General features: G+C 36.7%; 1 long non-coding RNA gene across 1 annotated transcript in view, besides 1 other annotated feature; it reads right to left on the bottom strand.

Annotated features, from left to right (window-relative positions):
• Positions 1 to 27,845, bottom strand: part of MIR548A1HG (MIR548A1 host gene) — a 200,152-nt gene that overhangs the window by 19,133 nt on the left and 153,174 nt on the right. The window lies entirely within an intron of this gene.
• Positions 9,578 to 10,777: an enhancer, noted in NCBI's record as "BRD4-independent group 4 enhancer chr6:18693220-18694419 (GRCh37/hg19 assembly coordinates)". NCBI's record gives its function as "activates an origin of replication core promoter dependent on BRD2, P300/CBP, MED14 and CDK7 cofactors, and independent of BRD4, by STARR-seq in HCT116 cells {active_cell/tissue: HCT116}" and the evidence as "EXISTENCE:reporter gene assay evidence [ECO:0000049][PMID:35650434]".

The raw sequence follows: 27,845 nt of genomic DNA, 5'->3' as shown, positions 1-27,845 counted from the left end.
CCTGACACTTGGCATTTAACATCTTCCTTCCTTTTGAAGCTCAGAAAACAATAGAAATACTGTCTCCGATTTTCAGACTTGTCACAGCTCTTACAGAAAGATCCCTATGAAGAGGTTTTTGTCCAATGTACCAACTGAAGTATGTCCAATTATTATTGATATTGTATATTTCCCCAGACTGACTTGTTACATGATTTATACCTACAAAACTCATTAAACAAAACCTATTTGAAATTCATCTAATCCATCTTGGGTAAGTTGACTTCCAAGCACAGACAATTTCCATAGAAAAGGATGTGTTTGGAGAGTGTGTTTGGCAACACTTGGTGTATTAGTCAGGATTCTCTGCAGAAATAAAACCTATAGGAAATAAATATATATATATATACATATACATACATTATACATATATATATATGGAAATGTATTATGGGAATTGGTTCACATGATTATGGAGGCCAAGAAGTCCCACCATATGTCGTTTGTGAGCTAGAACACCAGGAAAGTCCACACTGTAATTCAGAGTCCAAAGGCCTAACAACAAGGCAAGCCAATATTGTAACTCCCAGTTCAAGGCCAAAAGCCTGATAATCCTGGAGTCTGAAAGCCCAAGAACCAGAAGCTTTGATGTCTGACGGCAAGAGAAAATGGATGTCCTGGCTTACGAAGAGAGAGAATTCGCCATTCTGTTGCTTTTTTGCTCTATTTGGACAGTCAATGGATTGATTGATGCCCACTCACATTGGTGAGGGCAGATCTATTTAACTCAGTCCACTGATGCAAATGAAAATCTCTTCCAGTAACACTCTCACAATCACACTCAGAAATAATGTCTTATCAGCTATCTGGGCATCCCTCAACCTAGTCAAGTTGATACATAAATTTAATCATCATAGTATAATGTAAACAAAGATTCATTACAAGGAATTGGCTCATGCAATTATAGAAGCTGAGAAGTCTCAAGATCTGTAGTGGGCAGATGGGAGACTCAGGAGAGCCAACTGTGTCATTCCAGTCAAAAAGTCTACAGACTTGAGACCCAAGAAGAGTCAAAACAGTAGTTCCAGTCTGAAGGCAGAAAAAGATCAATGTTCCAGTTCAAAGTAATTGGGCATCAGTTACTTTGATGCCCAATTTGAGATTCTTCCTCAGCCTTTTCATTCTATTCAGATCTTCAACTGACTTAGGGAGGGCAATCTTCTTTATTCAGTCTACTGATTCAAATGTTAATCTCATCCAGAAATAGCCTCACAGACACACCCAAAATATGCTTGACCAAACGTCTGGGTATCCTGTGGGCCAGGCAAGTGGACACACAAAATTTATCATCACACCTCTGGTCACAGAACTTTGTACTGAATGTTGCATGCTCCATAGTTCTCAACTCAGGGTCTTACCAAAAAAAAAAAAAGTAGAAACTCAAATACTTGTTGAATGTAGATTTTTTTCTCCAAATATGTTTATTCTGAAATGTATTCAATAGAAATATCCAAGTGGTTTCCAAGCCAAATGAACCATTTAAAATAAATTACATTAACTTTGTTAGCCTTGAGTGAAAGGTATAATTGCTTCCAAAAATGAAAAGAAAGAGCAGGGGGAGGTTTCCTGACAGCATAGGTCACCTTCTTGAAAACTTTTCAGACATAGAAATGCCCAGAGATGGACATATGAAGAATTGAATGAGAAGTGACCCTAGAGTGAACTAAAATAATGAGGGCTAAGAATTTTTGTTGCAAGTGTCTTAATGTAATCCATATAATAAGGAGAAAAATATTCTATACCAACAGAGGAAAGTTACACAAGATCATTTTCTGATTTGAGTAGCATAGATGTTTAAGGCATAGGCTTTGGAGTAAAACAATCTGGCTAAGTAAAACAACTTTATTGTGCCTGGTGATTTCTAGGCAAGTTTGAACCTTTCTTTCAGCTTCTTTAGTTGTAAAATGGGGAAAGTAGTATTTGCCTCATATGGAAGCTGTGCCGAATAATTCAGATAGTATTCAACCTGGTAAACACTCAATACGTGTCTGCTATCTTTTAACTATGTAGATATTTTCTAAATGTACATAGCCAAATAATTCTCTTCAAGACTGAAGAGTTCAGCATCTCAGATGGGCCATGAATGTCAGGCAGAAGCCACACACACAACTTCACTGCAAGATCAGATTAAGACCCCAATTTATCTACTCAAGTTTAGAAATGTATTGGGGTAACATGGCCAAAGGGGGAAAAGGCAGACACAGCCCATTTCCCTGGACTCCAGAGTCCTTAGTGGGGAATGACTCACGTCAATTCACTGCCTGCTCAGGGAAGGGTTTTGCCAGATTGTGTAAGCCTTTTCCTGCTTTGGACAAAGGAAGAAAACATACATTGACATATACAAACCATCTCTAGGTTATTAATGGAAATAATGAATATACATCTTACTTCTGATCCTCAAGCCCAACTGAGCACCAGTCAGTGGGAGAGTAGAGTCCATCCCCAGGAGTCACTGAATTGCTTCTCAGCCTCTCATTCATCACCATCCTCGGAGGCCAACTTGCCCTAGGTCCATAGCCTACTCCACTTAATGCTCTTCTATCTTAGTGTTCCAATACGAAGTGTGGTCAAAGATATATATCCATAGTCTACAGTGACCGTCTTCAATGTAAACTTAGTGTTTCTTATGCTCTTAAGACCTTACATTTTAACTTTCATGAAGCAAGCTTCCCACTCTCTGTTTGGCTATATCAGACACCTGGGCCCGGCACAAAGGGGGTAACATCCAGGCAGAGGGTTTAAGAGGCATTGAGAACAGGCTGCTACCCTTCTCCCTTAATATTATCTCCTCCACTCACCTGTATTAATGCCTGAAAGACCCCAGCAGAGGCAATTACTTAGAGAAAGTCAAGATTTTTAATTGTTGTTGTCCAAATTCAGATATTACAGAGACAGAGAGAGATGCTCAAGCCTTGCAAGTCACTTTGCATATCACAATTTGAGAGAAAATGGAGAGTGAGCTTTAAGGGTGGAAGAATGGTGAGGAGTGAAAGAGAGAACAAGCAGCAGGCACCTGAGAGGTAAGGCCAGGTCTCAGGAGCACCAAGAGAGACTGAATATCTGTCAAAGCAGTGACAAAAAAGAAACAAAAAAAGATAAATCTGAAACTGGAGTGAGGAGGTCATCAAAAAAAGGACCTAGTATGCTAATGGGCAGGCAGCCTTCCCATTGTTCTTTCCTCACTTAGCAGAGGAGTCAGAACACACCCCATGGCTCATGAGAGTACACTGCCTTTGTAAAAGCCTTAACTACAAAAATTAAGAGAGTGAAATAATACTCTATAAGGCTAGCTGATTAACAATGAAAGATTTACAACATCGCAGGATGGGTGACCATGGCTTTTAATTGCTCCTTACTTTTTGAATAGTTCTTCAACTCTAACCCTATGCTGAGCATTGGATCACATATGGCCCCTCATATACACAGCTTTCCTCCACAGTTCTACTTTCTTGGCTATGCCTCTCTATGTGCAACTTGAATAGACTGAGTGATAACACACCCTAAACCCAAATGTTCCTGTGGGCCTGTGCCAATCTGAGAAACCATCATCCTTCTATGGGTTGAAGATAATGCTATATTCTTCTCCACTACTACTACTCCTCCTACTACACACACACACACACACACACACGCACACTTTCAGTAATGAAATCAAGCTCAAGATCGGAGTTTCTTGCATACTAATAAATTTTGATTCAGGTAGCCCCACATTAAACAGAACATTGTGAGATTTTAAGAGAAAAAAACTTTCAGCAATCTGAGTGATTTAGAGCAGCACATCTCAAACACTAATGTGAGCACAAATCACCTAGGGATCTTGTTAAAATTCCACTTCTGATTCAGTAGTTCTGCACTTCTAACACACTGCCAGGTGATGCTGATGCTGGTGGTCTATAATCACACTTTGAGTAGCAAAGATTTGGAGAACAAACATGTGAAGGTAGACGGTGTCCATTTCCAAGTGGAGTCACAGTAATATTAGTACTGCTTCAAATAAACAGAATTAGAAGCTTCCTTAGCAACCATAAGCATGCACACATTCTTAAGATCATTCAAAAAGTTACCAGTAGAGGAAGAAACCTTCCTTTAACTTTTAATTCTAAAATTAATTTAATTTATGGTACTGTAAATACTGTAATGGCGAAAGCTGCAATTACTTTTGCACCAACCTAATAGTAAAATCCAAAATCTAAATTTGTTCATGGGAAATCCATCAACAGCTTCCTGAAAGTTTCAACACTTGTCATGGTTCAACTTGTCAATGGTAAGGATTTTACTTACCAAAACAAACTTACACTTCCTATTAAAGTTCTCTTTCCGTCAAGATCTTCGGTGGAAAGTTATGGTGATCAGGATACAGAGAAGACGGGATTTCTTACACAGACTAGATTAGAAGAAGAGAATTGAAAAGGCGCTATCTAATTTCACTCTCTAGTGTAATGAGGAAACTTATCTCATTTTGATTGCTCAGGGTCCCCTGGCTAGCCACTTAGCCAGAAATCTGGAACTGAAATCACAAACTCTAAGTTCCCAATTCACTGCTTTGTCTGTCTTCTACAGTATTAAGCAAGACTTTCCATTTACAACCTTTAGTTTTCAATGAGTATTCTCCAATTATAAAACTTGACAGAAAAATGAAATACATGGGTTCTAATAGAGATTTGGCATCTCTAATGGCTTACCAGAAAAGGGCAGACCTGGTGACCTCTTCTAGGAACATGCAAGGTCAGTCATTTCTACCGATACCTAAGGTCACAGAACCAGGAGCAAAAACTAGCTGTTTTGGAAAACTATTATCAGTTATGGGTAACTGGGGTTTATTATAAGTATTCCAAAGAACTAAGTCAAGATGTCCTTATTGACAAAGCCAGGCTCTAAGGAGACTAACTGAAGACAGGGTTATTTCAAAAGCAAAGACCATGTCATCCAACAGGAAAAAAACACCGCTAAGGATGCTTACTCCTGCATAGCAACAATTGGCTTGTATGTATGTTACAAAGAACAGAAAATGTGGTTGTGTCTTTTTAAGATCCGGTAGGAAACTACATGAGGCCTGGTCCTGTGGGAAAATGTGCTACAAATTGACACTCACTTGATGCTGAACTTACTGTATTTGAACTTTAAAACAAATCTCCTAATTATTTTGATCTTCTGTACTATAATCAAACATTCTGGCACATATTCTTTTCGAATCCCTGAAATGTCTGCTTCAGGTATCTTGTTGAATACTTATTATAGAAAAGTCTAGTTCTAGATGGCAAGAGCAGATATAAAGATTAAAAGCCCAGCCTTTACCTTTACACAGCTCGCAGTTTACTCGAGGAGATAGACATGTATACAAACAGCACCTGAAGGGAGTGGGGAAGTTGACCTTGGCTTGTTGTGAAATTAGATAGCCTTAAAATTCCAAAACGGAATCCTATGTAGCCACGTGGTAAGCAGCACAGACTCTAACCCTAGACTCCCTAAATTCAAATCCTGGCTCCCCCTGCCCTTATTATCTATAGGACCTGGGGCAAGTTACTTGATTTCTTTGTGCCTCAGTTTCCCCATTTATAAAAATCACATAAGAATAGTACCTTCTCTTAGAGTTGGTGCGAGGATTTAATGAGTTAATACATGTAAAGATTTTAGAATAGTGTCTGGAACAGATAAGTGCTACGCAAGTGTAAGCTTCTTTAATTACAATTCTGCAGAGAGATCTGTTTGACACCCAATGACTTCATATATATTACAATCTTCCCAGAACCCATAGGGTAAGACAGCAAACCAGGAGAACTATGATCACGTAGTTAACATATGCCTGCTACCTGCCATGGTGTTGGGAGTAGTGAAATAGTTCATCTCCGAATGTCACAAAAGCCCAAGAAAAGTTTGCTTTGTGTGGTTAACATTTTCTCATTCAGTCACGTGTACCATACCAACTGGCAGTATACTTACTCATTGTGTTTCCAACTGCTGAAAAGAGCCTCAGCCAGTGGGCTTAACCTGTTACCCGAAACCTTGGCAAGGACGTTATGCTCAGAGCAGAATTGATTTACAGTAGGGGAAAAAATGGAAGGGAGAAATATTAAAATAAAGTACAATCATGTTTCTATTTTAAAATGGTTACTGCCAGCAGTAGTGCAAAAAAAATGCTGGCCTGCAACCAGAAAGCTGCACCTGCACAGATTCCAGCTGTAGGACGCTGGAACCCTCACTGTGATTGCTCAATAACTCTCCTATTTAGAACCACTGGCAAAAATTTGGCAAAGCTGACACACACACACACACACACACACACACACACACACAACTTGCTTTGCACTTGCATCCTTAAGACCACTAACTCATTCTCTTCAGAATGGTCAAGGCAGTATTTTTCATTTATAACTACTTTTAGAAATATTTTTATTTGGTTCTCTGACTTGAAATTACATGCAGGTTTATATCCAGCCTATTGAGCTCCTCCTGAATCCAGTGTCATCTGTATTATGAATGTGACTTTATTTCTTCCATTTAACATCTGTACATCTCTAGAAAAGCTTGTCTACTTTTAGGAATAGGCACTAAAAAGGCAAGGTTTGAGATTCATTCATGGAATAATGTAGTTCCCTTTTCTGAGGAATTCCTAATGCAAAATGTGGCAATTATAATAATGCCATAACATTTAGTAAACTCTTTGCAAATAGAAAAGCTCATTTTGGCATCTGGAATGGCAGTACTAGAGCAGGAAGACTAGAGGTTAAGCATTGGCCCAGTCACTTAGCAACTGCTTGCCTGTTTGACCATAGACAAGACACTCTCTATACCTCAGGTTACACTTCTGCACAATAGGAATATATTCCCTACCCTATCTAGCTCATAGAATTGCTGTGGGAAAAAAAAAATCTAATGAAATATACATGGAGGGGGTTGTAAATTACACAGCACTTCACATATGCCATCCAAGTTGTTTAACTAAAATAGGATCTTATTTTAAACCCCATGAAAGCAATTCCAAAAAGTGGCAATGTGTGGGTCTCCATTTTCCTTCCTTATAGGGACTTACCTTGGTCACTTCTAAAATCAAGTATTTTCTGTTCCCAAAAAACTTTCTCATAATATTATATAGCATGACTTTGAAACACAAAAGACTGATGAAACATTAAATTTTGTTCCTACAAACAAACCTTTTCTTTGGTATCCTTTAGATATCAGTCACTTAAAGGTCAATGACAGGTGGAGGAGGTCTCTAAGACTTTCTGTGAATAAGACCAGAGGAGGCCAGGTGCGGTGGCTTAGGCCTGTAATCCCACACTTTGAGAGGCCAAGGCTGGTGGATCACTTGAGCTCAGGAGTTCCAGACCAGCCTGGGCAATATAGCAAGACTCCATCTCTACAAAAAATACAAAGATTAGCCAGGCCTAGTAGCACACGCCTGTAGTCCCACCTACTCTCAAGACTGAGGTGGGAGGATCGCTTGAGCTCAGGATGTTGAGGTTACAGTGAGCAGAGCCACTGCACTCCAGCCTGAGTGATAGAATGAGACTCCATTTCAAAAAAAAAAAAAAAAGACCAGAGAAAAACTGGAGAAAATGAAGGAAGCTTAAAAAGATGAACAAGAAAAATATAATAAAAAGATTGAAATTGATTTATTTAAATCATTTTCTTATTTTAAAGCTGTGCTCACAAGAACAACCATTTTAAACACTTGTACCTATTTTCTTTTCTTATTATTGTGTCCTCAAATAGAAGGGCACAGCCATATAAACAAATAATTATAATAAAATGTACTAAGTGCAATCACAGAAAAGTGCAAAGAGTTATAATCCAGCTCATAGGAATCAGGAAGGGCTTCCAAAAGAGGAAATTCCTAAACTGAGCCCTCAGGGAAATGGCACTCCCCAAGAAAGAGTCCACTTTCCAGTTAGATCCATCTCTTATTTCCTCCAATAAACTTTGTAAAAATATCTTCTATAATTCATGTAGACTTTCTCTATGCCCAGCATCGGTGAACACAATGGTTCAGTTCCAGGTGTTAACTCTTTTAAGGTAATCAAAAGTATTTGGGTATTTGCACATCTCTCTTATAGCAAAAAGGAAAAAAAATCCTTTGCTTTTTTTCTGGAAGTCAGAGATCAAGCTTTCTGCCATCAGGAGAACATTTGACTTTTAAGATATGTGTAATCTGGGAATAACACAACAAGTTAAGAATGCTGCTGGTGCAAGAGAAGTGATACATCGATGTCATCTCACACTCGAGTTGTTAGGATAAGAATATCTCAAAATGAAGGTAATTTGCTCCATGCCACTTCACTCTACCAGCCCAGTCAATTCTACAGCCTCCTGCCTAAAGATAGATAAAAACACAGAACCCTGAATTCTAGCAGGTAACAAGGTATACGCCAGTGAAGACAGCACACTTATCTGATCTTCTCTTCCTTCCTCGTTACTTTTTCAGGGCTTCTAGTTCTTCTAGGGACCATCTTCTTCTCAAAGGAGATGCCTAATGTGTCTCCATCTTCCTTGTAATTGCAGAAACTTTATTTTCATGGTCCACAGTAGTATAAAGGAAAGCCATTGAAAACTAATAAGAGTGTACACCTAATGTCTTGAGCAAAAATAAGAGAAGTTCTGAAATATATTTCCAAGCTGTGAGTCGTAAGTTAGCTAATGACTACAAACTTGTCCACGTTTATTTAAACCACCATGCCTTCTTTGCCCAACAGCAGAATTATCTTACTAATTTCTACTAAATGAAATTGGTCTGACAATTAATTAGTGCTTTAACAGTGCTCTAGAATAAAAATGTCAATAAAAGAAGTAACTTTTTGGAAAAAAAAATCTCTCCTGCATATTCTCAATGGCTTAGGGTGACCCAAGATCTTCTTCAGATGAGTATTTTCATTTCTATTCTGTTTACAATCTTTCTACAAGTATGAGGATCAAAAAAATACACCTTTGCATATACCAAGCCCAGATATATGCGCACAGTGAATTCAGGGTTATTTGCATCAGTGGAATCTGGCTGACAAACTCTGAATGAACACAAAGGAATTCAGGTCTCTATTTTATATGCAGCCCCCTTGCTTCGCAATGAACTGGGCTACCCACTTTTAAGTCTGTAAACCAGGTGTCTTATTTCTGAAAAGAATTCATCAGAAACTCATTAGTAAGAATGTTGGTCTGACCCTAATACCTGCTTAGTAATTTGTTCCTAGGTACTGTACTAAAATCAGAATTTAATGTTTCAAGGACCACAAGAAAATCATCTAGAAAAGAATTGAAATTTGGTCCTGATTTTTCCACTAGCATTCAATTCTTTTGAAAATATGTGAGTCTTCTCTATGTGCTCAGCCTACTAACACATAACTAAGAGCCCAGGGACTGAAATCCTGACAGTTCCTATTAAGGTAAAAATGGGGCTACAGAATTCATTTTCAAAGTTTCTTCTAGGTTTATTTAAAAGAAAATTAAATTGGCACTACCAAATTTAATGACAAGGCTACCCTGCTGAGTTCAGAGCCCAGAAAGCTATTGTCTCCCTGGTCTATGGATCCTACTCTGCTCTAATGTTTCTTATAATGCCACTAATAACCAACCATCAGCCATAAATGCCTTGTCATCTCATTGTTGCACACAGCAATAGCTGGAGCAGTGATACTGACAAATGAACCTGCATAATCACTTTGGATTTCTTTGTTACATCTCACAGTGTGAAGATGGCTTCCGCTCAGCACGTCACCAAAAAACAAACAAGCACTATTGCTGTCCTCTCCATCAATCTTTCGTTATTGTTGTCATCCAAACCCCGCCGCTGCCCTCATCACCACCCATCCTCACAGAAGAGTGAAACGTCCCAGGTCTTTGAGTTTAGACTTTTGATATTCCTCTCCTACTGTTCCTTTGCCAACTGTACCTCTAAGAAAGAAATGGAAATCCAGAGAGCAAGGGATAGAAAGAATGCGGACCTTCTCTACTTTCCAGCACTGTTTTTCTTAGGAAAAAATAATAATAAGCTCATTAAAATCCAGTTGAGTCTGACGTTTTCCCTTTTACCTTTTCAATCTTTTTATAGTTTCAAATCATTAACTATCAGCATGAAGCTCAAAGGTAGCTCTAGCCATCTATGAAACAGTGACACATTTGACAATAATACTTTTGAAGAGCCTGTCACAGTCTCTCCCCAAACAAGTCTCATTAATGCTCAAACTGTCTTTCTTTTCTCTCTGCTTCTTTTCTCCTGATTTCTCCCTAATTAGCTTGTTTTTTTATGCTTCCTCGTTCCACAGTGTGCGCTTATAACAAAAAAAAGAGATGAATGTCATTTCCATGAACCCCAAGGCCAAGTTAATCAGCAGAATTAATGACTCTATTACCCATTAGACTGGGGGCGGTGGCACTTACCTCCAAGCACCCAGCATTCACTATCTCTCATACTTTTTCATTTTGCTGTGACAATTGTAAACTTTTGCTCTCTCAGAGCAAACTCTGAGGTTCAATCTATTTATACAACATTTCTGTTCCCCTTCAGGGTGTGAATCAGGCAGAGAGGTTGGAAAGGTAGCCACCTCTGTCGGTCTGCAGTGTCCATGCTGAGATGGTATCATTCCATTAAATGAGGACAGATCAAAGGAAATCTCAAGGAAGGCTGGAAAAGAGTCATAACCTAGTGGTCCCTGTATGACTCACCACAATCGATAACTCCTTACCGTAGAACATTTCATAATTGCAGCATCACAAAAAAATCCCTTTGTACTTTTTTTAAAATCGTGCTGTGAAAGTAAAAGATGTGTGGAGATTTAAGCCAGCAGACAAATTGATTTGATAAATTTTTAACAAACAAACATGATTGGGGGTCGAATAATTTTTGAAAATATAATTTTGGATGGAGGTGCAAACATTTCTAACAGTTATTTCCTCTTTAACACAGTCCAATAAATATCCTTTTATCCTTAAAGTCAATGTAACAAAACCAATTAAGCATCTTGTGTGTGTTCAAAATGCTTTATTTTAGAAGCATCTACCTCAAACCTATCAGAAGAGTAGGAGAGGCTTTACTTTTTATAACTCAACAAAATATTCCCCCCATAGAATTTCCCCGTTTAATTTGTAATGATATCTTTATTGATAAAAAGAGAAAGAAAATTAATACAGATTTATCTGGATACCCAAATAGATTTCCAAAGAGTATGTATATGAAGGCCTTTTCAGAGAAAATACTTTCTTTCATTTTGCGTTGGTGAGAACTCCACTCCCATCTAGTATAAAAAGCTTTTTGGTATCATTTGGTAGGTTATCTTTGCCCAAAGAGATTATCAGAAAAACCTTTTTTTAGGATAAAATTCTGCTCTAGTTAGTTTGAAATATCTTCAGCCAAAAAGGAATACATGTGCTTATGACTTCCAGCCTTTGTTTGTCCTTCATTCTCAATTTATCCTACAAAATATAACTGAAAGGATATTGGCAAGAATGATAATCCTGACACTGACTTTATTCTTTTGCCACAGGTATTCATAGAGACAATGCCATCCTTGTTATGTGGTCTTCTTTTTTTATTATAAAGGGAAATCTTCAGGGCATTAAAAAAAATTTAAGTCAATAAGCAGAACTCAAAATTCCAAGAAAAATAATTAGAGAAAAAATGACATTTCAATGGTTATTAATGAGAATTTTGTGTTACAAAGGGCAATTGCTTTACTTGGAAAGAAAAGGAAGGATACTTGGAATGCTTAGAAAATATCATTTAGTATAGCTATCTTCAAATATCACTTAAAATATAAGTGATCCAATGTATCTTTGATGTATAGATAGTCAGCAGGTGTGAAATAAAAGAGAACACACCATAAAAATAAACATATGACATTTATTCACATAATAATGGGGCCCTAACACTGCATTTTGTGAGTCAAGGTAACACAGTGAGCTTTGTCCCAACTCTGAAACTCAGAGAATGAGAATTCTAGTTCCAACCTGCCAACCCTTGAGATGATTAAGGGGGAGAAAGAAAGGAAAATAAGTGCAAATTTTAGCATCTTATTTGCCTTATCTGTATACAAGGAATAATGATAATCGTATCATATTAAACCGTGGTACAGGTAGACGAAAAATAGTTTCTAAAAATCATTACAAAGATTCCTACCACAGCAAAGAGAAATTAATTATCAGGACACTTTTCAAGAATGTACACACACATACATTGAGAGTTGTATTTGTATCTGTGTGTGTGTGTGTGTGTGTTATTCCTTTGTCACAGAGAAATGCTCACTTTATTTTTCTCTTCCTTCTCTAGCCTTTGCACAGAAGATGCACGATAATAGATTTTTGGAGATTTCTGAAATGTCTTCATGTGAGGTTCTCCTCCCGAGTTTTCTCATAACATCCTCTAGTTACCTTCCTGTGACATTTATCTCATTGGTCTCTGTCTGTTCCATCAGATAGCAATGAAGGCAGGAACTGTACAGTGTGTCCAGTCATTCCCAAGACCCAGTGGTGTCTATCTCATGGTTGGCATGAGCTATTTGTTGAATACACAAGTAGGGGAATACTGAGTTGATCAATTTAAGCCTAAATTGGCAGATATAAACTTCATTTTCCTTATAGAGCCATTCAAATTACTTCTAGATTACCTATAATCTGCCTTTTAAAAAACCTAAGACATATCTCAGAACGTATAAAAGTATGGGAATGGTTTTGTGTTCATTGCAGATGAGTAAAGTTGATAGAATAAATGCTCAGGTCAAACATATTACTTTATTGGTCATTCTTTTATCCTTGACTCCTTTAATACTGAAAATTTCAATAATATAAATAAATAGAAGAAAGTAGTCAGCATTTTTAAGTAGGAATTTTTCCAATTTCCAGCAGAGAAAAGAGTTCGTACTTACTCACTTTACCCTACTTGAGAGAAGAGTGTCCTCAGCCCTGACTGTACATTAGAATCATTTGGAGTGCTTTAAAATCTATTGCTGTTCAGGCCCCACTGCGGTGATTCCAATTTAATTGAACTGGGTTGGGGCCCAGGCGTTGTCATTCTAATGTGCAGCCTGGGTTGAGAGCCCTGTCCTAGAAGATGGTGAACAGGAGTCCCAACTATGGAATAACACCTTTACATTGCGTTCTCCCACAAAGATCCTCAAGTGCCATAAGTAGTCAACATTTTCCTTCATAGAGACATTTACCTTCTCTATTTCAGTGCTTCACATGGATGAACTCTATAGATCATTCTCAGGGCAGCAATCATGCTGCAAGGCACTAATGAATTCAGATTCACAGTGTAATTTCAGCCACGGGGGGCAGTGGCATAAATTTCTCATTTCTAAAGCTGGCCTGATATCAGAATCAACTGAGGAACTTTAGAAGAGGATTTTTAGGAGAATTTCTTAAAAATGCAGATTTCAGGGCATCACAGATGATTAACTGAATCAGAGTCTCTGAGGATGAAGTCTTGTAATATGCATTTCTATCAAACTCCCTCAAGTGAGTCTTACATTTCAGCTAAATAGTTGTTAGACCTGCATGGATTTTAAAAAGCCTAAGTATGTCACAAATGTATGGAAATGCATATTTCAGTCTGAAAAAATTCTTTCTATGGTATAGTAGGAAGGCTGTAGCCTTTGGACTCTGACACATGTGCATTAGAAGTCCAGCTTTATCAAAACTAAGTCATATGACCATGGGTAAGCTACCCAAAGCCTCTATGTAGCTAAGAAAATAAGGATAACAAGAATACGTCCTTCATAGGGATGCTGTGACCTGCCCGGCAATGTACAGCACAAGACAGACATCAAGACATGTTCAGTCTTTTCTCCCCCTTCCTGCCCTGTGAAATATGACCAGTGAAAAAAAGAATAAAAGAAATAGGTAAAGTAGAAATAAAGGCTGACATCCTAGGAAATATGAGCATATGATATCAAGAACATGCGAATCCTTTCTTTCAATCTAAATCATTTCCAATAATCAATGGGTAAGAAGAATCTTGAAGCTAAATTTCTCTGGCATTCAAATTACTTAAAGACTAAACGATTTTCCAAAATATTCTGCTGAACTCATAGAATAGCCATGTGTAGTTGATTTTAGTAAAGGGTTGGGAGACAATTCAGACGCTTAACTATGACTCATGACAAATTCATGAAAGAAAAACAATCAGTCTATTTGAAATTGCAGATACTGCTTACAATAAAGAAAGATACATTAAAATCAGGTACCTCTACCTCCTATTTCTCCAAGTAGTTCACTTTTCTCAGAGGAGAAAACTTGGCTTCTATTTCTTTATTTATCAATAATATCAAAAGTCAACACCTCTGTGAAATTTCTCCTAAAAATCCTCTTCTAAACAAGGTGAATTCAGTTCAACAAATATTGATTGAACAACTTCTGTGCCAAAAACATCCTTCCCTGTACTCCCAGATCACCTGGAATAGGCCTTTATTACTGCACTTTCACATGATTTTGTAAATATGTATTTCCTTTTTTCTCTCTCCTACCAGACTGTGTTTTCCTCCCAGAGAGAAACCAGGGTATTTGTTTTTGAATGCCTCTTGCTCAACACAGTGCCTGAAATACAGTGGTCTGGGGTGGGGAGAGAAACAGAATGAAGAGTGCTAATTTATCTAACAATAAAGTACTGTGTATGAAATTTTTATGTATGTATACATCAAGCGTTTGACAAAGACCTATCCTATTCATAGATTGATGCAAAAGCAATGTAAATAAAATATTAGCAGGTTAAATCTAGCAGTACACTAAAATAATAACTGATGAATCATTACTAAACGATGATCATGTCATCTCAAACATTGTGTTTTTTCATTTTTAGAAGTTTGTTTTGTTTCTTTTTTATATTTTTCACAATTTTACATAGAGCACTTATGCTTTCCTCTACCTCATTTAATGTATGGGATATATTTATTGGTTACCCCAATGAAATGGTGTTTAGGGGTGGTGCCTTTGGGAAGTGATTAGCTTTAGATCATATCATAACAGTGGGGCCTTTATGATGTGATTAGTATCCCTATGAGAAAAAACAAAAAACATAAATTTTTCCCTCTCTCCAGGCACACATACCTGGAAAGGTCATGTGAAAGGTAAAGTAGAATAGGTACACCTAGCAAGAACGCAGCTGTCAAAAAGCCAAGAAAGAGTTCTCACAAGAAACCAAATCTGCTAGCGCATTGATCTTAGATGTTCCAGCCCCCAGAACTGTCAGAAAGTAATGTATGTTGCTTAAGCCACCCAGTCCACAGCATGTTGTTATAGCAGCCCTAGCTACCTAAGATACAAACTAAGCAATGAAACCTTGATGAAAATTCTTGGATACTAAGGCTCTAGAGTGCTTCCTGGTTAACAAATTGATATGCTGGCAAGATGACGCATCTGATTCCCTGAGGAAAGGGCATGGAAGCTCTGCACCACCCACCTCACAATCTTGCCCTATGTGTCTCTTCTGTTTGGCTATTTCTGAGTTGTAGCCCTTTTAATAAAACTGTAATAGTAAGTATAGCAGTATCTTGAGTTTTGTCTTTCTACCTAATTATCGATCCTGGGAATGAGGGGGGTTGGAGGTATGGGAGTCCCTGAATTTGTAGCCAAGTCAGGAAGAAGTTCAGGTAGCCTGTGGACCTCATGTGTAGCCACAGTGTGACATTACATTACATAGCAATGTAATTGGATTGAACTGAATTGGATTGAACTGTAGGACAGAATTGGATTGAACTGTAGGACAACCCCTTGGTGTCAAAGAATTCATGTCAAAATGTAGGTCTTGATTAACAAAGCTTAAAAGTAAACCTCAAAACCTCCTTGCAAGTAACTTAAATAAGTCCAAAAACCCCAAAATATTTAAAGAAATATGAAACTATCAGAACCCATAATATAAAATTCACAATATATGACATCTAATAAAAATCATCAGGCATGCAGCTGGGCCCACAGTGGCTCATGGCCATAATCCCAGCTACTCGGGAGGCTGAGGTGGGAGAATCGCTTGAAATGGGGACGCAGAGGTTGCTGTGAGCTGAGATCGCCCCACTGCACTCTAGCCTGGGTGACAGAGCAAGACCCTGTCTTAAAAAAAAAGAAAAGAAAAGAAAAGAAAAAGAGAAAAAAAGAAGAGAAAAAGAAGATCCTAGTCAATGCAATTTTTAAAAGGATAAAAAATAAAAGCTTTTAAAAAAATTATCAGGAATGCAAAGAAGTAGGAAAATACAACACATAATGGTGAAAAAAAAATAAGCAATATAAACAGACCCAGAAATGACACAGATAACAGAATGAATAGAAAATATAATAAAACTACAATTAGAAATATACTGCATGTGTTCAATAAGGGAGAGGAAAGCATAAGTGCTCTAAGCAGAAATACAGAAAATATAAAAAAGAAACAAAACAAATTTCTAAAAATGAAAAAATATAATTTACAAGATTTAAAAATATTTCAAATGGGATAAACAGCAGATTAGATATTCCAGAAGAAAACATTAGTGAGCTTGAGTACATAACAAAAGAAACTACATGAAATGAAAAATAAAAAAAAAGATAGGGAAAAAATTGTGAGAACATGAGAAAAATGTAAGACAACCTCAATTATTTCAATTTACATTTAAATGAAGTCCAAGAAAGTTAAGAGGAAGGAAACAAAATATTCAAAAAAATGATGGTCAAATATTCTCTAAATTTGATGAAAACTACAAATCCTCAGTTTCCAGAATCTCAACAAACCCCAAGCATGCGGAAGGTGAAGAAAATGACATCAAAGATTATGATAATCAAATTGCTTCAAAAAAGTGGAACAAAGAAAATCTTAAAGGCATACAGAGAAAAAAGAGTTATATTATTTGTGGAGGGAAAAGAATGCCATCAGACTTATCAGAAGCAATGCAAGCCAAAACACAGTGGAACACCAACTTTAAGGTACTGAAAGAAAACATCTGTCAACCTAGAATCCTATGTATACCCAGGGAAAATATTTTTCAAGTCAAAATATTTTTCAAAGTCATTGGCAAAATAAAGACATTTTTACATATACAAAAGCTGAAAAAGTGCATAGCTACCAGATCAACACTATAAAAAATATTGAAGGAAATTCTTCAAGCAAAAGGTACAATGTCAAAATAGTTCAAGTAAAATGATAAGGAAATCTGGATCTAAGCAAAGGAGTGAAGAACACCAGAAATAGTAAATATAAAAGTGGATACAAAAGATGTTTTGTGTTTTTCTAAATCAGCTTAAAAGATAATTGTTTAAAGCAAAAATTGTAAAATATGAGTTGATCACATATGTAAAAGTAAGTGTGTAACAAAAGTAGCACAAAGGTTAGAAGAAGGGAATAGAAGCATATGGTTGTAGGATTGTTATACAATATGTGAACTGGTATAATTCTAGCAGGACTTTTTAGAGAAACAGACATGCTGATTCTAAAATTTATATGGCAATGCAAAGGTCTTAGAATAATTTTTAAGAAGATGAACAAAGCTAGAAGACTTACACTACCTAATTTCAAGACGTACTATAAAAGCTACAGTAATCCAGACAGTATGGTGTTGGTGTAAACATAGACACAAAGATCAATAGAACCCAGAAATAGATCCACATACAAATGGTCAATTGATTTTTGACAACATGTCAAGAACATGTAACACGGGAAAGGATAATCTTCTCAGCAAATGGTGCTAGAACAATTAATTAGATAGCTATGTGCAAAAATGAAATGAAATTTCGTTCTTAAGTCTCAAAATATTTAAAATTAACTCAAATAAGAACTTAGAACCAAATGCAAGAGCTAAAGCTATAAAACATATAGAATAAAACATAGACAGTATTAGAGACCTTCAGCTCGGCAAAGATTTTTTTAAAGTAGTACACCAAAAATCACAATCCATGGAAGAAAAAAACTGATAAATTGAGTTTAAAGTCTTTTGTTCTTCAAATAATAATACAATGAAAATGAAAAGGCAAGGCACAGACTGAGAAAAAAATTTGCAAAATACATACCCATCAAAGAGGCTAGTAACCTAGAATGTATAATAATGCTGTACAACACAATCATAAGAAGACAAACAACCCAGTAAAAATTGAGCAAAATATTTGAACACACTCTTCACCAAGAAGGTATGCAGATGGGAATAAACATATAAACAGATGCTTAACATTATTATTCATTAGAGACTTGTAAATTAAAGTCACAATAAAATACCACTACATATCCACTAGGATGGCTGAAATTCAAAGGTCTCACCATACAGAATAAACTTAATGTTCTTTTGTCATAAGAATCAAGAATCACTAAACAAAAAGACTGATAAATTGACTATATAAAATTAAGCACTTCCATATAGTGGGAAACTAAAAGCATTGTAAACATATTTTAAAAACAAAAATTAAAATGGAAAATAATATTTACAAAGCATATACCAATGAGTTACCAACCTTAATATGCAAATAATTCTCACAAATTATTTTTTAATTCAAAAGGACATAAACCAGCAAGTCCACAAAGAAAAAAGAAAATGATCCACAATAATATCAACAATGCTCTTTCTCATTGATTATCAAAGAAATAAACAAGCAACTAGATATCATCTCAATAAATTGACAAAATTACTAGCAAGCCTGTAACATTCCACTAAAGGACACAACAGAAAAAAATGTAAAAAATAAATGAATTAATGTTCTCTTGAATAGATATTACATTATAAAAACATAAATACTTCTAAATTAATTTATATTGAATTCAGTTAAAACTTTTTAGGGATGTATTCAAATGCCCATTCAAAATTTCAAATTAATAATTTTGAAAACTTGGCAAAATGGAGTTTAAAACTATTTCCAGTCATTGTTCAAAGTCATTAGGGTCATAAGCGATCACTTGAGCCCAGGAGATTGAGACCAGCCTGGGCAACATAGTGAGATCACTGTCTCTACGAAATATTTAACAATTAGACAGGTACAGCACCATGCACCTATAGTTCTCACTACTTCAGAGGCTGAAGGGGGAGAATGTTTGATCCGAGGAGTTAGAGGCTACAATGAGCTGTAATCACGCCACTGCACTCCAACCTGGACAACAAAATGAGACCCTGACTCTAAAAAAAAAAAAAATCGTACAATGTGCAATATCTTTTAGGACGGATCATACAATCTCAGAAGCATAAAGCAAAAACACTAATAAATTGACCCTATAAACTTAAAACATCATTATAAGAGGAAAATAAAGCATAGTCAACAAATTTTTAAAATAAAAATGCATACTGGGAAATGACATTTGTAAAACATATGACAAAGGATTATTAGCCTTAATATTTAAAGAGTTCAAACAAATTATATGGGATTTTTAAACATGTAATAGGACAAGAGCAGGCAATTACCCAAAGGAAAAACTTTAAAATAGTCAGCAATCACAAAAAGATGTTCTTTCTTATAATCAAAGAAATGCAAATAAAAGCAACCATATCTATACCAGTAGATTGGCAAAGGTGAATAATATCAAAATCTGTATTAAAAAGGGAACAGAAAATCAGACACGTGATTTATTGACGAGAATTTCAATTAATATGCCCATTCTAGAGATCATTTCGGTAGGTTCCTCGCAGGAATGAAGAGAGAAGGAGAAAAGAAAGGGAGAAGAAAGTGAGTGAAGGAGAGAGGGAGGGCAGAGAGAGAGGAAGAAAATATAAAAAATAAATATTCTTTCTCTTGAATGTTAAGTAAATTGTGAAATAAACAAGGCAATGCTGTGCAGCTGTTAAAATGATCATGTAAAATATTTTGTCATGAATGAATATTCAAAATCTGTATAAATATATACACATTATTATTTATAAGTATGTATGTGTGTGTATATATACATGTATGACAGTTTGAATATTGTGATCCCAATTATACAACATTGGGTGTGTAGGCACCTGTGTGCATGTGTGCATGCATGAAGAGGTATCTAGAAGAGTTTTCACCAGTGTATTAACAGTGGTTATTTCTTGGTGAAAAAATTCTATGTGATTATTATTACGTTAACCTTTATACTTCTCTAATAGTTTGAATTTTTAAAATAATGAGCATGTCTCTGTTTTAAAGCAATAAAGCTACTTTTTAAATGTGAGTCATCCAATGAGATGAGAATTTAATAGTATGTGAGTGATCACATAAAAACATGTCTTCTTGGAGCTGTGTTTCTATTAAGATCAATGTCTTTACTCCTTTCCCTCTTCACTTTGGAAGAGACAGAGGAGAAGCAGAAAGCAGGAAGAATTTGATAATAATCCAAATATAAAACCATTATTTCATTTTCTTTTTAATGGTTTTAGTAACTGAATTTCATTTTAGGTCAGCATCCTTTTGGATATTTACAAAGAGACAAAATAGAAGGTAAAAGTAATATGCCATCGATATGTTTTAAGGATCACTAGTGTTCAAGCAAAGCATTAGTGTGGCGTGCAAAGGAAGGGAAAGAGGCAGAAGGAAGCAAGATAAAAAGCACTGAGCATGAGGAGGTGGAATGGAATCCATGAGACATGCTAAGTGGAAGGGTGAAAACAGAAAATGATTGAAAATTCAAAATCAAGAATTACAGGATAGAATGAATTTGGAAGAGCCACCCAAAAGAACTATTTAAGTAAATCAAATGTTCATAGCCAGTGCTCATTCATTTATCCTTTTGGTCCAAATCCAGTCAGATATTACCTCCAGGTGCAATATTTGGCACTGAGATGAGCATTAAAGTTAAATATTTATTGGTGCCTTAATATTGTCAGAGACTTGTTCCAACACTGACCCAGGTTTGTTTCCCTCACGAAGCACTGCATGATGCTTAATCCTGATCTCTCTAAGATTTAAGAAATATCCTAGAGGTCTTATTTTCATTTCTAATGTTAGTTCAAGGAGGTCAGCTGTCTTTTACATTAGTGTCTGGGCCATAACTCTGCCCTTAAATATTGATGGTAATCTGGATTATTTTCTTTACTGGGCAAATTTAACCAATATGGAAGATAATGACTATCCTAAATAATATCAGGCACTTTAAATATATACTCTTTATGACAATGCATTTCAAATGCCTAACACTTTCACCCAGCCATTCTAATTCTAGAAATTTCCACTAAAGAAATTCTTGGGCAGACATAAAAATTTATTTACAAATGCTAATATAACACTGCTTTCAACAGAAAATATATTTTTAAAATCATGAATGTATGTTACATGTCCAAACAATAAGAAGCCAGATAAATACATTTGAATATAGGCATTACATGTTTATCATTAAAATCTATTAATGTTAACTTTGATTAAAATGACAGTTTTCAGAACCAAACTGTGTAGAAATAGTGGCATCGCTAGAGTGAAGAAGTTCCACAGTGCTCTTTATGGATATGCCATTAAAATGTTTGATAATCACAAGTCAACACCTCTTGTATGCTGCACACAGGGAAGACTGAATTGCATGCCGTATTTATAATGGCCATTGAGTGCTGTCTTCATATCTACTGCACATGATGGCTCGACTTACTTGACTTCTCAAGTACTATTGCCTTGTCTCCTTCATTCAGAGATTTGATCTAAGATTACTGCCTTTCCCAGTTGGTCAAATTGTATAATTAAGCAGGAAGCATCTCAGATTGATCCATGTTTTGAAGTGGGTTTGGGAGATGTTTGGGTATATAGCAAACTAAGAAAAACTCTGTGTGTAATTCAATCTGTCATTTTGCAATGCCTGCTCATAAAGGGCACATGCATGGAGCAGTCTTGACATCATTCCAAAGGGCTGTCATCACATTATCTAGGTCACACTACAAGCGACGTACTTAGAAATTGTTCATCCCAAGGTTTAGGATAGGGAAGATATTTTGATCTGAAATTGATCATAATAATAAAAATAAAGTAGAATTGTACATGCCACATTATTGAGCATGATCCAAAAAAGATATGTTTTTCTCTAACATGAAAAGTAACTAAGAAGCCTTAGTTAAGAAATCATAATTTCTTCCAAATTCAGAGGATGATTTTGTTGATTATGACTGGCTTCTTTTTAAAGAACTAATTCCATCATAAACCTCTGTTGCGAATTTTTGAGCCAATTATTTGGAACACAAATTTCAGACAAGCTAGATACTGGCAGTAGTTTTGAATTTACTTAGTTTGATTCAAGGATTCAATTTTACCTGTGCCATTTCTCGTTCAAGCAACTGGTCAGATTACAATAGCATAGATTAGGGGATATGCTTCAGTGAAGCACTGAGAGAGATTTGCCTAGTTCCTGCCACTCCATGTTCAACAACTGTTAAATTACTAATAGGGAGATATTTCAAGACTTGCCTTGACTGATTTCAAACTTACTTAGGAAGCAACAAATAAAAGAAGAATACATGGCTTTGAATATAGAGTCTATGTGGCCCTTGAGAATCAGTTTCCCCATCTATGAAACGGAAATAAGGTCTACCTCAGAGAACTGTCAGAAGAATTAAATGAAATGTGCTGAGTAAACCCTAAAGACTACACTAATATTCATTATTTTTTCCACTTTGTCATATAGCTTCTTAATATCAGGACTATAGTTTTTACTATAATGTTTACTTTTGTTGTTGTTGTTGTTTGTTGTTTTTAACAGTTTATTTTTTAGGGTGCCTTTAGGTTCACAGCAAAATTGAGAGGGTGGTATAGAGATTCCCTATATACCCACAACTCCTACACATGCATTGCCTCCCCAATAATCAGCATCCCCACCAGAGGGCATGTCTGTGGCAACTGATGAACCTACATTGACACATTTCATACAAAGTCCATAGGTCACATTAAGGTTCACTCTTGGTGTTGTGCATTCTCTGGGTTTAGAAAAATATTTAGTGATATGTGTCTACAGTTATAGTACCATACAGAGTATTTTCACTGTCTTAAAAATCCTCTATGCTCCACTTATTCATTCCTCTTCTCTACCACCCAACCCCTGGCAACCACTGATCTTTTTTACTATCTTCATAATTTTGCCTTTAAAGAAATGTCATGTAGTTGGGATCATACAGGATGTAGCCCTTTCAGACTGGCTTCTTTCACTTAGCAAATGCATTTAAGTTTCATCCCTGTCTTTTCATGGCTTGCTCAGTCATTTCTCTTAGCACTAATTAATATTTCATTTTCTGGATGTTCCACAGTTTATTTATCCATTTGCCTACTGAAGGATATCTTGGTTGCTTTTAAGTTTTGGCAATCATGAATAAAGCTGCCATAAATATCTGCATGCATATTTTTGGGTGAACATAAGTTTTCAGTTCCTTTGGGTAAATACCAAGGAGTGTAATTGCTGGATCATAGGGTAAGAGTATGTTTAGCTTTGTAAGAAACTGCCAAATTTTCTTGCAAAGTGGACATGCCATTTTGCATTCCCACCAGCAATGAACAAGAGTTCCTTTTGCTACATATTCTGATGAGCATCTGCTGTTGTCAGTGTTCCAGATTTGGGCCATTCTAATAGATGTGTAGTAGTATGCCACTGTATTTTAATTCGCATTTCTCTAATGATATATGATATGGAGCATCTTTTCGTATTCTTATTTGCCATTTGTATGTCTTCTTTGGTGAAGTGTCTGTTAATTTGGCCCATATTTTCAGCCAGATTGCTTGTTTTCTTGTTGAATTTTTACGGTTCTTTGTATATTTTGCATTACATTTGTTTTTCTGATATGTCTTGCAAATATTTAATCCCAATCGTAGCTTGTCTTCTCATTCTCTTGATACTGTCTTTTGCACAGCAGAAATTTTTAATTTTAATAAGCCCAGCTTATCAATTATGTTTTTATGGATCATGCTTTGATGTTTTATCTGATGTCATCATCATGCCTAAGGTCATCTAGGATTTTTCCTATATTTTCTTGTAGAAGTTTTATGGTTTTGTGTTTTATATTTAGGTCTATGATCCATTTTGAGTTAATTTTTGTGAAAGATGTGTCTAGATTCTTTCTCTTTTTTTTTTTTTTTTTTTGGCATATGGATATTCAGTTGTTCCAGCACCATTTGTTGAAAAGACTATCTTTTTCCATTATATTATCTTTGCATTTTGCTAAAGAACAGTTGATTAAACTTATGTGGATCTATTTCTGGGTATTCTATTCTGTTCCATTGATCTATTTCTCTATTCTTACCCCCATACCACACTGCCATGATTACGATAGCTTTATAGTAAGTCTTGATACAGTGACTTTTTTCTCTTTTTCATTACAACAGTTAATTTTTGCTAAAAATTCTGAAGTGATCATAGAAGTAATGAAGTCTGTGTCATGTAAAGTCCATCATACCTTTGGGTAGTTATGGTATTGATGGTCAAATATCAACAGAACTATTGAAAACCTCTTTTCTAGAACCATGTGGCTTAGTCCTTTCACCTTCATATCGTCATAGAAATTACCACAAAATTTAATGACTTAACCAGCAAACATTTTATTCGCTCATAATTTTATGGGTCAATATTTTAAACAGGGCTCAGCTGGGTGGTTCTTCTACTCCAGGTAATGTTGACTGATATCATTCCCTTGGTTACATTCAGTTGGTGAATGTATTATGCTAAAAGTCCAAGAAGTCCTCACTCACATGTCTAGTGCCCCAGTGCACCTCTATATGCCTTTCTTTCTCTCCAAGTAACTAGCTTGAGATTACTTGCAGCATTATGGCCTCAGAAAGACCAGAAAGCTACCGTAGGGAACAGTAGTAGCTCTGAAGCCACTTGCTTCCAAGAAGAAATAGTCTAAAAGGGAACTGCAAGTCCCTCAAAGCCCAGCCTCAGATATTTTGCAACAACTCTTGTTCCATGATCTACTGATTAAAATCAGTTACAGGGGCAGCTTAGATTCACAGAACAGGGAAATACACATCAGCTCTTGACGAGAGCCACTTTACATCCACCACATCCACTTGCATCCACCACAGTCATGTCTTCTAGAGATGCTATTGTGCAGTCATGGTGCTCCTTTTGATTTCACCTCATCATTAGTAGTTATGTGGTATAGTGAGTTGGTGTAGAATTATCCCACAGTGAGTTTTTACTCCCCCGCAAAAAATCTGGGTAATTTCTGAAGAAAAGAGGTTGATTTGGCTTATAGTTCTGCAGTCTGTACAAGCATGGCACCAACATCTGCTCAGCCTCTGGTGAGACCTCAGGAAGTTTACAATCATGGTGGAAGGCAAAGGGGGAGCAGGAGTGTCACATGGCAAGACAGGGAGCAAGAAGGAGAGGAGGAGGTGCCAGGCTCTTTTAAACAGCCAGATCTCACATGAACTAATAGAGTAAGAACTCACTCATTACTGCAAGGACAGCACCAAGACATTCATGAGAGATTCATCTCCATGATCCAAACACCTCCCACCAGGCCCCACCTCCAACACTGGGATCACATTTCAACATGAAGTTTAGAAGGGACAAACGTCCAAATCATATCATCACCCACTTGACCACATTCTCACCAAGGATGTCACTCTTACGTCTTCAAGTAGCTCCACAGAAAGTGGCACAGACAGTGGCAGACTTGGTGAATTGCCCTTCCTATCATATTGCAGGAAGAAAATCCATCATTCTCTTCCTGGTGTGCTGCTTAGAGGGTGATCTTAATTAAACTGTAGAATGTCAAACTTTAGTATGGAGGAGGGGCAGCCTATAGGGAGAGGATATGAGTAGGTTTATTTGTCACTGAGCAGAAGGTTGGTAGCTCTTCTCTTAGAAAAGGTTGTTTTAAAAAGGCAAAACTTCATATTATATAAAGCCACCATCATTTCTCCATCTACCAATCAAAGTAGCTCCATCCTACCTGCCTTCAAGGCACACTGTACTACTCTTGGGGCCTCACACAAGCATTTGTGAAGAGAAAGATCTGGAGAGGATGTTCCAAGTTCACATTTAGAGTCTGAGAGTCACAGGTGGTATTTCCTTAAATATCATTTCTCAGACATTCAAACCCATTTGTTTCAGAAACGAGGCAGAATATTTAAATAACAGCACTCCTTGATCTTCAAGACCCAAGATGCTGGTAGGCTCCTACTTTTAAGACCAGTGGAGAAGGAAAAGCAAACCATAATGATTTCTGAACCCTGACTCAAGAATCTTCTGGTTATGTCATGTGTTCTTCCTGCCTCTACCTATGCTTTGCCTTAAATTAGAACCTATTTCTTTCTGGAAGCTTTCTATGGCCCCTACCAGGTGAGCTGCAACTCCCACATATTTTTTTCTATCACCCTGTATTTGTGCCCATCAAAGCCTCTACTACACTTACTATAATTATCCATGTACATATCTGTCTCCTTCATCAGATAGACTCCTCCAAAATGAGAACCCCACTTTACCCACCCTTGAATCCCCAGTCCTTGGCACAGTGTCTAGCACAGGTCAGCTGTGCAATGTTTCAGCAGCAGCATCCCATTAGCTCTTGACTGCAGCCTTGGGAAGGAAGTGGAGACGCTGACACTAAGGGGCTCAGGGACTTGTTTCGTGGCTGAACCATGACCAGAGATCCTGACCTATGACCCACTGATCTTTTCTCTATGTGCAAAATCTAGTTCCCATCCTGCATTTTGCTTTGTCTTCTGTGCCATTAAAATACAAAGCACAGGACTTTCAGCATCACAGAAAGTTGGAGCTGAAAAGGGCCCTAGGGACTGTGTTGCCATAGTCCAATCCCACCATTTTATGCAAAGGAAACAAATCCTAGAGAAAAGTGACTTGTGGCAGATCTTGGCCTAGAACGTGGGCCTATTGGTTCCTCTCCATTTTCCTATCTCTGGTAGAAAGGTACAACAGTATGATACATGATTGATAAATGCATCTTTTATGCCAGATTTGAGCCTCCATCCCAGCCCTATTAATGGAATGCAAACAAGTGAATTTGAAAAAAAGAACATGATTTTCCATTCATCTTTCCATTCTGCATCCACATGCCACAAATGGAGACCATTTGGTGGGGGCTGAAGAGGTGAGAATAGATCCACGACATGCAGTTCTGCATCGCCGCTCAGCAGGGCTGTCAGTAATATCTTACTTAACATACTGTCACAGAATTTTCCTTCAGTGTCACCTCGGTCGCTACTGTAACACTCCATAAGAAATAATGCCATCTGTTAAAATACACAAGGCAGGGAAACGCAGCTGCTGTCATCGCACAAAGATGGAATTAGCCAACACTAAGCAATTACTTTCCTTTTAAATTTCACAATTAAAATTTTAGTCTTGCTTTATTTGTATCACAAAAGTCACCACAACACTGTGCCTGTTGAAGTAACAACACCACTCTCTTGATAAAAACATAGAGGAGGAGGAGTTTAGTTGGGGATAATGGTAATTGTTACTCTGTTGCCTTTTTTATAAATATTTTTTAAATTCCATTGGGCGGTGTTAATTATAGGTAGCAGTACTAAGAATAATGGATTTGCTTATAGCATTCACATTTTGGCTCTCCTAGTACTCAATTAAAGAAAAAAAAACCCTCACAAAGTGAAGTTACTAGCTGATGGAATGATCATTATGCTGCATATCCAAAATCTTTTTTTTTCTCTCTCGCTCTCTCTCCTTGGTAGTAGAAGATTTAATGGAGAAGGAAAGGACTCAGGTCCTAAAGAGACAGGTTTCTAATTCGAACAGAAATGAAATCCTGCCTCTCAGCTTTTATTTCATTCATTGGAAGGGAGCAGATTGCTGGCTAAATAACAGAAGGGTGGACCTATTCAGAGCTTAACTGCTTCAAAAAGCTGTAAGAGATCAACAATTGCATTGGCCATACTCCATTATGAGGGTGTCAGCAAGCTGGTGTTTCTTTCTTTGATGCATTTTTTTAAGCATGGGAATTATGTACTAAATTTTCTGGGAGGAGAGAAATAGGCAA

The sequence above is a fragment of the Homo sapiens genome, chromosome 6 (assembly GCF_000001405.40).
Source record: "Homo sapiens chromosome 6, GRCh38.p14 Primary Assembly".
Lineage (NCBI taxonomy): Eukaryota > Metazoa > Chordata > Mammalia > Primates > Hominidae > Homo > Homo sapiens.
This window is presented reverse-complemented; position numbering and strand designations above follow the sequence as displayed.